This window comes from Homo sapiens, chromosome 1 (assembly GCF_000001405.40).
Source record: "Homo sapiens chromosome 1, GRCh38.p14 Primary Assembly".
Taxonomy (NCBI): domain Eukaryota; kingdom Metazoa; phylum Chordata; class Mammalia; order Primates; family Hominidae; genus Homo; species Homo sapiens.
This window is the reverse complement of record NC_000001.11, coordinates 96,212,224-96,226,336: the sequence shown is the minus strand read 5'-3', so window position 1 is coordinate 96,226,336 and position 14,113 is coordinate 96,212,224. Positions and strand designations below refer to the sequence as shown.

The 14,113-nt window shown below is 39.9% G+C and overlaps 1 pseudogene, besides 1 other annotated feature; it reads right to left on the bottom strand.

Moving 5' to 3' along the window:
- Positions 277-436, bottom strand: RNU1-130P (RNA, U1 small nuclear 130, pseudogene; annotated as a pseudogene).
- Positions 1,783-2,283: an enhancer, noted in NCBI's record as "H3K4me1 hESC enhancer chr1:96689610-96690110 (GRCh37/hg19 assembly coordinates)". NCBI's record gives its function as "activates a minimal SCP1, AML or CMV promoter by ChIP-STARR-seq in naive H9 embryonic stem cells {active_cell/tissue: H9 hESC(naive)}" and the evidence as "EXISTENCE:reporter gene assay evidence [ECO:0000049][PMID:30033119]".

Here is a 14,113-nt window from a genome sequence, read left to right as displayed (position 1 = left end):
AAGAACGATTTTTTTTAAAGGCTGGTTGGAAGTTCATGGTGTGAGATTAGCTGACTGAAGTATTTACTGCAGGAGATCTGGCAAAGCCATTTATTTAAAGAACCTCAAATGTTGTATTCTTTGTCTCTTTGGGGGCAATCCATTCCCCAGTCCTCTACTTAGGCTGAAAGCCTGATTGCCTGTGTTCTGGGAATCACAAAAGTAATTGGATCCCCGATTTCAAGGATCATATGCAGACATTCACATAGGCTTTCTTTTTTCTTTTTTTTTTAACCAGGGGAGAAGCAAACGCAGTCTCCCACTACCACAAATTATGCAGACGAATTTCCCAAATGTGGTTAAATCATAGGGTCAACATATCTGAAATGCAGCATTTAAGCCTCACCCTGGGAAAACCACCTTTGTGATAAGGGTGTCTCCCCTGCCAGGTAAATACGCACGTACGCTTTCTAAGTTCAGTGTATAGAACCCCTGACCTTAACACTCACTCCCTGTACGGAGACCCTCTGCTTTATTAACTCCAGGGAATATGACTTTATTCTTTCATTGTACTGACAGAGGAGCAGATGCCCAGCTGTGTGAGGTTGGGAAGGGGCTCCGACTACTAGACTTTTTAAAATCAATCCTCTTCCTCAGAGTCTCCTTCGCCTCTTCCTTGTTTCTACAGAGATTGAGGCTTTTGGAGGATTCTGCAACACAAAACATGTTGGATTTTAGCTTTCTCTGTTGCTAGTTTATGATTCCATTCTTCTTCAGGTCTGCAAACTCCTTTACCAATTGTTCATTTGTTTTCCAACTTCAAAAATGTTGTTGCTGTTGTCCCCTCTCCAAGTCACCCCCTACTTGGGTATATATCTTAAGAAATGCCTTTTCTGATGAGTAGGTGTAGTTTCAGAATGGAGCAATGTTAGCTGTGGAGTGACGTTAGCTTTTTTTACATTTGTGGACATGGTCCTGGTCTGCCTCCTGTGGTTCTTAACCATGGTGGAAGTCCCATCAGTAGGCATCTGTGACAGACTGTGACCAGCTGAACTACGGAACAAATAAGAAGTTTCGAGTGCAACCCTCCTATTACAAGAAGTCAAAGGGTTTAGATTATATCCTTTTCTGGTCTTTACTTAAAGAATACGCATGAAAGAAAGAGCAAGATTATATATCTTAGCAATAATTAAAAGTAGTAAAAAGTCAAAGTAAAATTTTTCAGTTTTTGTAGAAAATTTAATCTATAAACAGATAAGATAGATATATTTAATTTGTGTAATGGGGTTGGTAAGATTAAAAACAATTTTTTTCATAGTGGTATCCCAGAGCTGTCCTCTAGCTACATTCTTGCCTCATGTACTTTCCTGTGTTTATGATGAAAACACAGATGTTTTGGTGTATAAACCTGGATGCATATCTATAATAGTATCAATATTCTGTTGCATGATTATGAGAGGTGACAGCGTGCTGGCAGTCCTCACAGCCCTCCCTCGCTCTCGGTGCCTCCTCTGCCTGGGCTCCCACTTTGGTGGCACTTGAGGAGCCCTTCAGCCCACCACTGCACTGTGGGAGCCCCTTTCTGGGCTGGCCAAGGCCAGAGCCAGCTCCCTCAGCTTGCAGGGAGGTGTGGAGGGAGAGGCGCCAGCAGGAACCAGGGCTGTGTGAGGCGCTTGTGGACCAGCTGTAGTTCCGGGTTGGGCGTGGGCTTGGCGGGCCCCGCACTCAGAGCAGCCGGCCAGCCCTGCTGGCCCCAGGCAATGAGGGACTTAGCACCCGGGCCAGTGGCTGCGGAGGGTGTACTGGGTCCCCCAGCAGTGCCGGCCCAACGGCGCTGCGCTCAATTTCTCACCGAGCCTTAGCTGCCTTCCCGCGGGGCAGGGCTCGGGACCTGCAGCCCGCCATGCCTGAGCCTCCCACCCACTCCATGGGCTCCTGTGCTGCCCAAGCCTCCCCAACGAGCACCACCCCCTGCTCCCCGGCGCCCAGTCCCATCGACTACCCAAGGGCTGAGGAGTGCGAGCGCATGGCACGGGACTGGCAGGCACCTCCACCTGCAGCCCCAGCGTGGGATCCACTAGGTGAAGCCAGCTGGGCTCCTGAGTCTGGTGGGGATGTGGAGAGTCTTTATATCTAGCTCAGGGATTGTAAATACACCAATCAGCACCCTGTGTTTAGCTCAAGGTTTGTGAGTGCACCAATCTACACTCTGTATGTAGCTGCTCTGGTGGGGCCTTGGAGAACCTTTATGTCTAGCTCAGGGATTGTAAATACACCAATCGGCACTCTGTATCTAGCTCAAGGTTTGTAAACACACCAATCAGCACCCTGTGTTTAGCTCAAGGTTTGTGAATGCACCAATCGACACTCTGTATCTAGCTGCTCTGGTGGGGCCTTGGAGAACCTGTGTGTGGAAACTCTGTATCTAACTAATCTGATGGGGACGTGGAGAACCTTTGTATCTACCTCAGGGATTGTAAACGCACCAATCAGTGCCCTGACAAAACAGGCCACTCGGCTCTACCAATCAGCAGGATGTGGGTGGGGTCAGATAAGAGAATAAAAGCAGGCTGCCCTAGCCAGCACTGGCAACCTGCTCCGGTCCCCTTCCACACAGTGGAAGCTTTGTTCTTTCGTTCTTTGCAATAAATCTTGCTACTGCTCACTCTATGGGTCCACGCTGCTTTTATGAGCTGTAGCACTCACTGCGAAGATCTGCAGCTTCACTCCTGAGCCCAGCGAGACCACGAGCCCACCAGGAGGAACGAACAACTCCAGACTTGCTGCCTTAAGAGCTGTAACACTCACCGCCAAGGTCTGCAGCGAACTCACCAGAAGGAAGAAACTCCGAACACATCTGAACATCAGAAGGGACAGACTCCAGACACGCCACCTTAAGAGCTGTAACACTCACCGCAAGGGTCCACGGCTTCATTCTTGAAGTCAGTGAGACCAAGAACCCACCAATTCCGGACACAATTAGATGGCTCTTCTGTACTACTTGGGTGTGTTCCCATTGTAGAACTATTTCCTTCTCACTAAAAACCACAGATTCTAAAACTTAATTGAAGTGATCAATGCCTCTGGCTAACCAACATTTGCCACATTTCCAGTGGCTTTGGAATTATTGCAAATTAATTACCGATTTGTCTTGAGCTATGATTCATTGTAAAGTACTTAAAACCAGTAAAGACAGACCTGCCATTTAGTACAGAGGTGTCTCTGGAGCTTCTTAGCACTATGAATTGTTGTGTGAATTTATGTGGATGAACCAAATGAGGTTGTTTATGAGAAACTTATTCTCAAAGTTCATAAAGGCTTTAAGGCTGGAACTGGCTGCTGATGGCAAATGCACAAGTAGATGTAAATGTAATTCAACCATTAAAATCTAAAGCCATAAAAGCAAGGAAATTCAGTTAAAGGAGGAAATGGGTTGTGCAGTGCTTTCTCCAGCCGTGATGCACAATGGGGTGTATTAAGGAATTGGAGACACCCCATAGTGTGAGACGTTCAAGGCATCTCTCATGTTTCATCCCTAACAGATTTCTGAGCATTTATGGACTTGAATATTGCTTCTAAAGTACTCTCTTTTGGGAGGAGCCTAGAAAGGAAAGAAACTTCTGTGTTTTTCCTTCATTATTACCATGTAGCCAGGGATGGAGGTAGGAGTGTGGATTCATATGGCGTGAAGGAATTTTGGGCTGGTAATCTGAAACATGGATGCTCTGGCTGACTCTTTCTCTAGGATTTCATGCATTCATGATGCTGTGTGCAGACCTCAGTTCAGGCAAAACTACAGAACAGAGACTTAGTATAGCCCTGCATGCTCTGTTCAGCTTGGATGTACAGAATTTAATTTTTTATCAACATGAGAGCTATTTGGAACAAAGGGAAATTGTTTTCCATTTCTACTTCTCTCAACTATAGAAAAATAAAATCTCAATTTGGCTTTCTGTGAATGGCTGGTTGGTGATGAATAGAAAGTCTTAGAAATGACCTAGCTTGCATATATTTTGCGGTTTCAAAAAACCCCTCATTTAAAATATACATTTTTAAAAAGTCTTAATCTTTAATTAATTAATTTATTTATTTATTTTTGAGAGAGAGTCTTGCTCTGTCGCCCAGGCTGGAGTGCAGTGGCACAATCTCGGCTCACTGCAAGCTCCACTTCCTGGGTTCATGCCATTCTCCTCCTTCAGCCTCCCGAGTAGCTGGGATTACAGGCACCTGCCACCACGCCCAGCTATTTTTTTGTATTTTTAGTAGAGACAAGATTTCACTGTATTAGCCAGGATGGTCTCGATCTCCTGACCTCGTGATCCACTCGCCTTGGCCTCCCAAAGTGCTGGGATTACAGGCATGAGCCACCGTGCCCAGCCAAGTCTTAATCTTTAAAAGTTACATGCTTTTTAGATGACCTAGTAAATACAATAGCTCATCTGAGGGGAAGAGTCATCTTGCAATGTGCAGCCTAGAAGGAAGTCTTTCCATTGCCAGAAAATGTAAGGCTGTTGGGAAGATGTCAACTGCTTTCTAGAGAAACAAATGATGAGTGTGTTTTCTATTTTTTTTAAACAAAATTTTATCATACAAGCTTGTGTATTCCACATTTGAATTTGAAATTAATCAGGATAAGAGGGCCTAAAGTGCAGGGAGAAAGATGGTTGAAACGGCGAATGATGAACCGGGTATGTGATTGATGTCATGTGAATAGCCACTGTTTTAATAAGCCAAGGAGCCTGTATTGGCCACCACCATGATATAAAAAACATATGGCCATATGCATTTAAGGTCTTAAAAATGACTCCACCCCTATCTACACCAAAAGAAAAATGTTTATAATAATACATATATTGACTTCTGCTTTCTAGTCAATAACAAGATTTATTGTCTCACTCTTCAGTCAATTTTAACTTCTTTGGGTCAACAAATCTTGATATTGATCTCAACAGAAGTCAATACCTGCTTATTACTTACCTCCACATTTAGACGCCTACCAACAATTCTTACGGGCATTCCTTTGACACAGAAAAGTGAATACTGGCTGTCTACATTCTATACAAGGTGTATACCTGTGGGCTTCATATATAATGTCACTTTTATAAGCCTTAATTCAGATCTAGTTATAAAACTAAATGAGGAAAAAAGATAGATGGTTTCCAATATCTGTAATTATGAACTAGACAGACATTTAGTATTCCCTTTTAATTTCCTAAATAATAAAATCATGATCTTTTATATTAATTATGCTGTAGTCATTTCCTACATCAAAGATAATTAGGCAACATGATATTTTTCATTCACCAAAGAGAGAACACAATAAATATTTTTAACAACGAAACCTTAATGTGATATAAGGTTAAAATTCTATAGTATCTCAAATGTTTTTAAAAACAAGAAAAGCAGACTAGTTACCCATTGCAGCAATTACCCAAATGTCTGCCAACCTCTAACCTCTAAATGTTGACTTTAGTCAAAGACATTCTAGGTTAGATAACTAAGTAACTATCAGGAAGGGAGTTTTGTTTGTTTGCTTGGCAACTGAAAAGAAATAAAGATCAAGGAAGCAGCCTTGCCTGGAGTTTTTAATGAATGTGAGACAAGCCCTACCAAAGGCAATTACTAAACCATCCCCCAAAGTTGTTTGTTCCGCGTACAAATGCAGTCCTGGTTCCATAAGACCTCTAGGTGTAAAACAGCATCATCAGCCTTCTTGCCACCCTCACCTGTTGAAATATTAAAAAGGAAGAATAAAACACCAATATGTACAAACCCAGGGGCAGACAAAGCAAAATACACTCAAGGCTGTAAGATATTAATTTTTCAAATTCAATAAATAAACCTTCATTACATACCTATGTTAAACTGCTTAAAATTAAAATTCAAGAGTTCTTATATTTTGTACTGCTCTTGAAATACTTTACCCTCTCTACACTGACTCACACACACCATAAAGTCCACATTTAAAACTTATGTTTTGCTGCAGGCGAAATGCCAATAAATAATAACAAAAAGGGAAGAAAAGAAAAGACTAATAGAGCCAGGTGACACAGATCACTTTATCACCAGCCCAGGTTTGCTTCTGCATAGTCCTATTTTCCAGATCATATAATTGCGAACAAATTTGCAGAAACTGAAAATGGAACATTAGGAGAAAAAAGAACACTTAAGTACATAAATGTGTGTTAATTCCAAATACGTATATACTTTCATAATAATTGAAAGTTGTTTTCTAAAAGATGTGAAAGCATGTCCTGTCAATAGCCACTACTAGCTTGTTAATCAATTTTTACAAGCTTTGTCTGAGAGAGTTAATTTTTCAAAACTGTGTCACTAATTTCACATTGTGCTTCCTGAATAAACTCATTAGCTTCCCCTGTAAGTCTTAGTTTCTATTCACCAAAATTGCCTGCTCAAACGTGAAAAATACAGTAGGGAGAAAAAATAAAGCCTGTTGTTTTACTGACTCTGAATTCCTTTTGAAAACTTAATCACTTAGTTTGTGAGTTTAGATCCAACTCTAAGGTCATCCTGCAGAGTCAGTTCTCATTTTTTCCTCCCCTCTCCCCACAGAAATCAGGAGAACTAGGGTCATGTGCCCTCCATTCAACTTTGCAAGGATGGACATGTGAGAAGACTAAGTGAGCAGGACAGTAATGAAATGGCTATATTGTATGGTGTTTTTAAGGCTAATTTGTTATGGACTTAAGAAAGGTGAGGAAGGAAAATTGTTTTTCAAACTCGACACTATTGATATCTTGAGCGGAGAATTCTTTGTTAGAAGAGAGAGGAATTGTCCTGTGCATTGAAGAATGTTTAACAGCATTTCAGATCTCTGACCACAAAATGCCAGTAATACCACCCTAGTAGATGTGACAACAGAAAGTGTCTCCCGAGATTGCCAAGTGTTCCATTGGTGACAAAACTTTCATACCAAGATACATTCTTATAATATATGTAAGTAAAGAATCAAAAAATATTGCAAAATCATCGATTACTATAACCACGAGGGACTGGTTAAATTGAGGTAGCCATTGTGAATTACTGTAGACAAAACAAAACAAAAAACACAATTACTGCATCATCTCATCAAATGTGTTCATTCTTATGAATTGAGTCCTAGTTCCATAAGACCTCTGGGTGTCAAACAGAATCACTAGCCTTGTATTAAGTGAAAACACAGAACAGCATCTTTGAAAGTCAAGTCTGCAAGTCCATACAGAGAGTAGAATCTGAGAATTTCAGAGCTGGAAGGCATCTTGGAGAACATCTATACAAACATTGTCTTTTTACTGGTGGCCACTGAGTCTAGTCAGCGTATCTGACTTATCCAACATTACATAGCTAGTTAGTGGCAGTGGTGAGATAAGAATCCAAATCTTTGAAATCCAAATCCAGATTCTCTTTTCTATATCAAAGTATAGGTCTATTTAGTATGGCAGTTTACTGAAGTTTTTCATTGAATGTTTTCCAGCCCCATTCATATACGTAATTTAAAGCATGGTAATAGTCTAGTTAAAATTTGCTTCAAATTTTTAAGAATCAAATCTTATGGCATTATCATCTCAGATAATAATTTTCCAGACATCAGCTTTTATTTAGCAGTAGGCATGTTCATCTTGAGATCCATTTTAAAGCATCTTGGCACTTTCTTTTGGAAAATGTTATGTCATAATAATAAAATATGATTAGGTATTTCCACTTAAATATTTCTGAATCTCCTAAAACTTATTCTTCCTTCAAATCTCCCTCTAGTTTTCCCTAACTCTATTATTCTCCTAGTTTAAAAATTCACATTGCCTTTTACTAATTTTTTTTCTGAACACACAATAGCCAAACAATTTCTAAATCCCATTATTCCTTTTATTCATTGTCTTTTTGAAAAACAATTATTTCTTTTCAGCTCCATTGCCATCGGACTGTAGAGATCCTTATCAGTATGTCTACAGACTAGTAAGCTGAGACAAATGTGTTTTGCCATATTTAGTCTTTTCTCCATCTACTACCCAACTCACTTTGCATATCACCATCTGAGGATTCTTACTAAAATATTTATGTCATAAATCCACCAATAAGTAAATATTCATTGAACAATTCCTGGGTCCAGTTAATGCTTTAGACACAAAAGATGGGTAGAAGTGGTGGGGAGAGGAGGATTTGTAGCCAAAAAAATTTTAAACGAGCTTCCTGCTTCTATGAGTTTATTTTTCAGTTGAAATGCATATTGCAGTAAACTAAGAGGCTTAATGCAAGAGCACACATACATGCAAATAGGTAAATACAGAAACTTCACACTTGCCATTTCAAATTTCTAAGATGTTTATCCTGATTTCCAGTTCAAAGATGAATCTTAGTGATAGCTTGAAAAGTAATAACTATACACATGTATTAACCTTTATAATCCCATTTGTGATAATCTCAACACTTTGTTCTTTCCCCATGTGTGCTTGTTACAGCAACCAATTTTTCCAGTGGTAGCAACCAATGTGCAGTAGCAGCTGATGTCCCCATCTGTTTCTGCTTGCTTTCAATTAAATAAATCATTGTATCACATGCTCAAGCTGACCAATGAACCCTTGGCTAAGGCAGTTTTGGGAGGAACCTTCCAGCAATGTAGAAACTATTGGCCGAGACCAATATTTATTCAGGGATATTTATTCACAAGTCACCTCTCCATCAGGGTTCTATCTTCTAGGTTGCCATTTTCTGTCTTCCTGTTAAAGATGGAACCCAGACACTTACTTGTAAGATAATAGAGCAGAAATATAGGAAACAATGAGGCTCTGAGACCCTATCTAAACGGCCTCAGTGTGGCCTAAGCTTTGGATGGCGATTTAGCATTCATGTGTAATAAGTGCCCTTCTAGTAAAAATTATATATTCCCTTATTAAAAGATGGTTGAGATGGTCACTTCTGTGTGTAAGACACATTTCTTCTCTGGTGGTCCATCCTCAACTTTTCTAGAAATATCTCCCCTTGGCATTCACATTTTTAACATAGGAGCAATGATTTTATACAATATGACTCTGCCTCACAGAGGGTCACAGTTGACTTCTAAGAAGTTAGAACCTGAATCAATCTGGGCCACTGAACCCCTTCTCTGAGATTGTGAATTTTAGAGTGAGAGTTCTGGCATTGTCTCCTGAAACTAAAGTTGTTAACTGTAAATTAATCTGAGAGTTCCTCACATTAATTTTGTGCCATAGAATGTAAATCAACTGATTTACACAAGGAGAAAGAAAAATGGAGCAGATGAATAAAAAGGTACAATGACTAGAGATAAAGAGAATCCTGACATTCTTCTATTCCCGGATAGTTCCTGAGCCCAATTGTATCATTGACATTTCCATAGCTTAGATTTCCCCTGGATTCTCGGGGATATCTCATTATTCTCCCAATAAATTTTCCTATTTCAGTAAAGCTTTTCAAGCTGAATTCCTGCCACCTGTAACTAAAATATGTATCATGAATACATTTTGCCTCCTGCAAGTCCATTAGAGGAAAATGTTGTAGTTTTGAATAGAAACCAGTCTAAAGGCCATGAATAAACAGTCACATATACAAACACAGATGCACACGCACACACACGCTAAAAGCTAGGCCTATATAAGTTTAGATTCTGTCTTACAAAAAATGAAGGCTACAGTAGCAGCATAATTAAGAAGAAGCAAATTAGAGTTCGCCATGTCATTATCTGGTTCAAAACATTTACTTGTATCCTATTATCATTAGAGTGCAAACTCTTGAGTCTGGGGTTCAAAGTCTCTTAACAGAAGCCCCTAAGCTACCTGTGGCAGTACTTGCCATCATTTCTACACAATTCCTCCCTACCTGTTCTCAGCTAAGTTCTTTTGCCATGCTTCCTGACTGAGAGGACTGCCTCTTCCCCTATGCCCAATAAAACTCTTATTTGTCATTCTTCTGGGCCACATTTTTTAGTTTCTACCTCTTGAGTTCTTGAGTCTACAGAAGGATCTCCATTCTCTGAAATCTTAGAACTCGTGTTATTTTAACCACTTCTTTAACATTTACTACTTGTACCATATATAATTAGTCAACTATTTCAGTGGTCTTGGTTTTAATTCCTGCTGGGAAATTATACCTAAGCTCTCTGAGGGCAGAGACCATGCCTTTCTTTTTACAACACTTCCTCCCTTCCCCGAATCCACTGAAAGTGAGCATTTGGTAGAGTGTATTTTATTTGAATTAACACATACAAGAGTAAAATATAGCATATTCCCTAAGGGAACCAATTATAAATTTTGTTTAAAGGAGCATTAAAAAGTTAAATTAAAAAGCTCACATTGGCAGAAGATAAAAAAGTTTTAACCACCAACTGCTGCTGATATAGGGACATTTGATAATGAAAAACAGAAATATAACTTAAAGGAAAAGAGCTCATGAGTAAATTGGAAGGGATGACGGTGAAAGAGGAGAAAACATACAAATCCTGTAATATACTTATTTTTTAAAAATCAAGTAAAGTCTGTGCATCCCCTCCCCTTGTAGACTGTAAACTCCATGAGGCCAATTATCCCATCTGCGTTGTTCATCACAGTAAAGCCAATACCTGACTCTCAGTCGAGAGGGATCCAGTAAGCACTTCTGGAATGTTAAACCACTGTTGTACAACCAGAATACATTTTAAAGTAAGTATGTCTATAGAGGTGACAGGCACTTGATGGTGCAGTGCAGAATTTGCACCCAATTCCTGCAGTGGCATCTAGGGACTGACTGACACAAGCAAAGTATTAAAAACACTACCGATGAAATTTGTATAGTCAGGGAAAAAACCTCTGTACCAAGGAGGCTAAAGCCACATTAGTTGCAGGCTGGAAGACTGAGAGCTGTCATTAACAGAGGGGCTCTGATAATAAAAGGAATGATCAAAGCAACATTGAACAACATGGAACTAGACCAATGTAGATGAGCAGAGGACATAGAAACTGATGTGAAGAGTGGACGTAGAAGAGACTCAAACTAGTACCAAAGAGGAGTGTTCCCTAACTTCTCCTACTATGGGCTTTAATAGAATCTTAATGAAGAAAAATGATAGTTTTATCAGTAAGCTTTTTCTAGATTTTACTACAGAAACAAATGACCCTCAACTCTAAATGGCTTGATCACATTTTAGGTTGGCTGTAGGTCTGCTGAAGCCCTGTTTACTTTCTCTTTATTCTAGAACACTGGCCAATACAGCAGCTATTATCTGGGATCCTGCCAAACTTGGATTGCAAAATTTAGCAAATGAAAATACAAAACATCCAATTAAATTTGGATTTGAGATAAATAGTGAACGATTTTTGGGTACAGAAATATGGCCGTTGCAATATTTGGGATAGACTTATGCCAAAAAATATTTGTTGTTTATCTGATTCTGATTTAATCATGTGCCCTGTATTTTTTTTTCCTGGCAACCGTTTGCCAGATTCATGAAAGATGAAAAATGTGACCTCATGAAGGTTTTTACGCCTTTTACTCAGAAGTGTCATTTGGTGGGTGCAGTGGCTCTTGCCTGTAATCCCAGCACTTTAGGGAGGCCAAGGTGGGCAGGTCACTTGAGGTCAGGAGTTTGAGACCAGCCTGGCCAACATGGTGAAATCCCATCTCTAACAAAAATTACAAAAATTAGCCAGGCATGGTGGCACGCCTGTAATCCCAGTTACTTGGGAGGCTGAGGCATGAGAATCACTTAAACCTGGGAGGTAGAGGCTGCAGTGAGTCGAGATAGTGCCACTGCACTCCAGCCTGGGTGACAGAGTGAGACCCTGTCTCAAAAAAAAAAGTGGCATTTGACACTTCCACTCTTCTCACTCATTGGCCAAACAACGCACATGATTAAACTAGTATTATTGGGGTAAGAGGCATCATCCTCCCTTGGAGATAGGCCTGGAAAAGAGGAGCCATATCAAAAGATATCACTCATTTATACTATGTGTGTATAAGTGTGTGTGCGTGTGCACACATTGGGGTGGGGTTGCTTTCATCTCTATAAAGGAGCTACAATAACTCCTTCCACTAGTGTTAAGAAGTAGCAGGAGCGGGAATGGCCGCTTGACATCTATACCCTCTCATTCTCTGAGCTGTCAAGGGAACAGCAGTTCCTGAAACTCTGTTCTAGTTGAGGGGACCACTTTAGTTTGACAGTGAGGGGTCATTTCTGTTAGAGTGATTGCCTTAGGTCTCATTATTTTAGGGCAAGTCTCTTGATACTGGTGAGCGAGCAGTGACTGAGAAAGCAAATCTGAGTGGGAGAAGAAAGTAGTTTGCTAGCAGAGGCTAACCCATTTCTGAAGGGTTCATGTTTGCCTGTGGCCCATGGCATCTTCCACCCCTCCTCCTTGGGGGCCACCTTCCTTCTTTACACACTCATTAGCTGGCTCTTCTTTGTAACAATTTTTCCAATTAAATGCACTCCTTGTTCATGTTTCACTGCACGTCAAAGGATATTTTTCTAGAGGAAAGGGTGACGGTAGATAGAGAGATGAGCTGGTGACACACAGGATTTTCCTGGTTCCCACAGCCTTCTTTGTTTGGCCCAAAGTCTTACATATATTCAAATTCTTTCATAAAAAACTAATTGCTAACTTTCTTTATTCTTTTGTGTCTGCAAGAATTCATTATTTACTTAGTACAACGGGTGAAAATTGTTCGCATTTCCAAGGTCAATCATAATAGAATTAGATTCCTGAAATAGCCTGGAGTATGATAAATACATAGATCTACATGGACTTCTGTTTTGCTGGGTTTTTCTTTTCTGTTCAAGGCTGTTTCTAAATATTATTTTCCTACTTCATTATAATATGCTTCTTATTCAGAGTTTGCCTAAACAGGACATTTGGCTAATGAAGTGAGATAATGGGGAATTAAATGGTTTTCAGTGTGAAGAGAACAACGTTATTTACAGGGTATATTGCTGATTAAGATTTATTTTTCTTTTAAAAAGTGACAAAATGATAATTAAGCTCTCAAACACAAAGTCATTCCCAACTTGTGATATGGTGTGATCACATGGGATTTCCTAATTTAATACCAATCACACATTTGAATGGGCTGGTATAAAATGAACTTACACACTGGTTGTCACAATTGCTGACGATAGGTGTGAATATATAGGCGAAAAGTATGGCTCATCTGAAAACACATGAGTTTATCCAAAACTTCATAAATATCTTTATTTGAGTGGAATTACTTCATCAAAGTGCTATCAGCACATAGAAATAGAAATGAACTATGTGGCTATTGATTTCAAGCACTAGGAATTGGCAAAATGTTTGTTTTAGATGATGGGGCAAAACTTGCAGATATTTAAAAATACATAAAAATAAACTAGGTGCTACAGGCCACAGTAAACCTCACCTGATCCCATTATTACTCATTTTACTTTGAATATATAAATAAGTCTTGATAATTTTCAGCTTTCCTTAAAATATAAAGTATTGATAATTTTCAGTTTTGTGTGTGTGTGTGTGTGTGTGTGTGTGTGTGTGTGTATAATACATGCAAATTATTCTGTGGCTGAGAATTAAGATTCCAAAACTCAAAGGAGCATTTTAACATCATCTCATTCTAGGGTGGCAGAATCTGGTCCAGGTCCTGCTGGTCCAGGTCCTTGCCTCTGGCAGATGTTGCTGAATAATGGAAATTTTTTTCTGCAGAGCACAGACTGAGAATCACAGTCCATTTTAAAACAGCAGTGCAAACCTGGGCAACATAATGAGAACCTGTCTCTACATAAAATTTAAAAACTAGCTGGGTGTGGGGGATGTGCCTGTAGCTACTCAGGAAGGTGAGGTGGGAGGATGGCTACAGCCCAGGAGTTCAAGGCTGCAGTGAGCATGATCACACCACTGAACTCCAGGCTGGGAGACAGAGCAAGACCCCATCTCAAAAACAAAAACAAACCAACCCAAAAAGACACAGGAGTTCAGGTAGCACTAGCAATTGGTCTGAGTTGACCTGCAAGAGGGAATCAGTTTGTTGTTGCTGAGAGCTCAACCCCTTTATCTTACAGGAGAGGAAGCTGCACTAGGTCGGATTTGGTTTACAAGTCCATTGTACATCCACTTCACCAAGCTGTTTAGGCAATTTAATTTCACACAGATACTTTTGAATGACATTTTCTTTTTGCGTG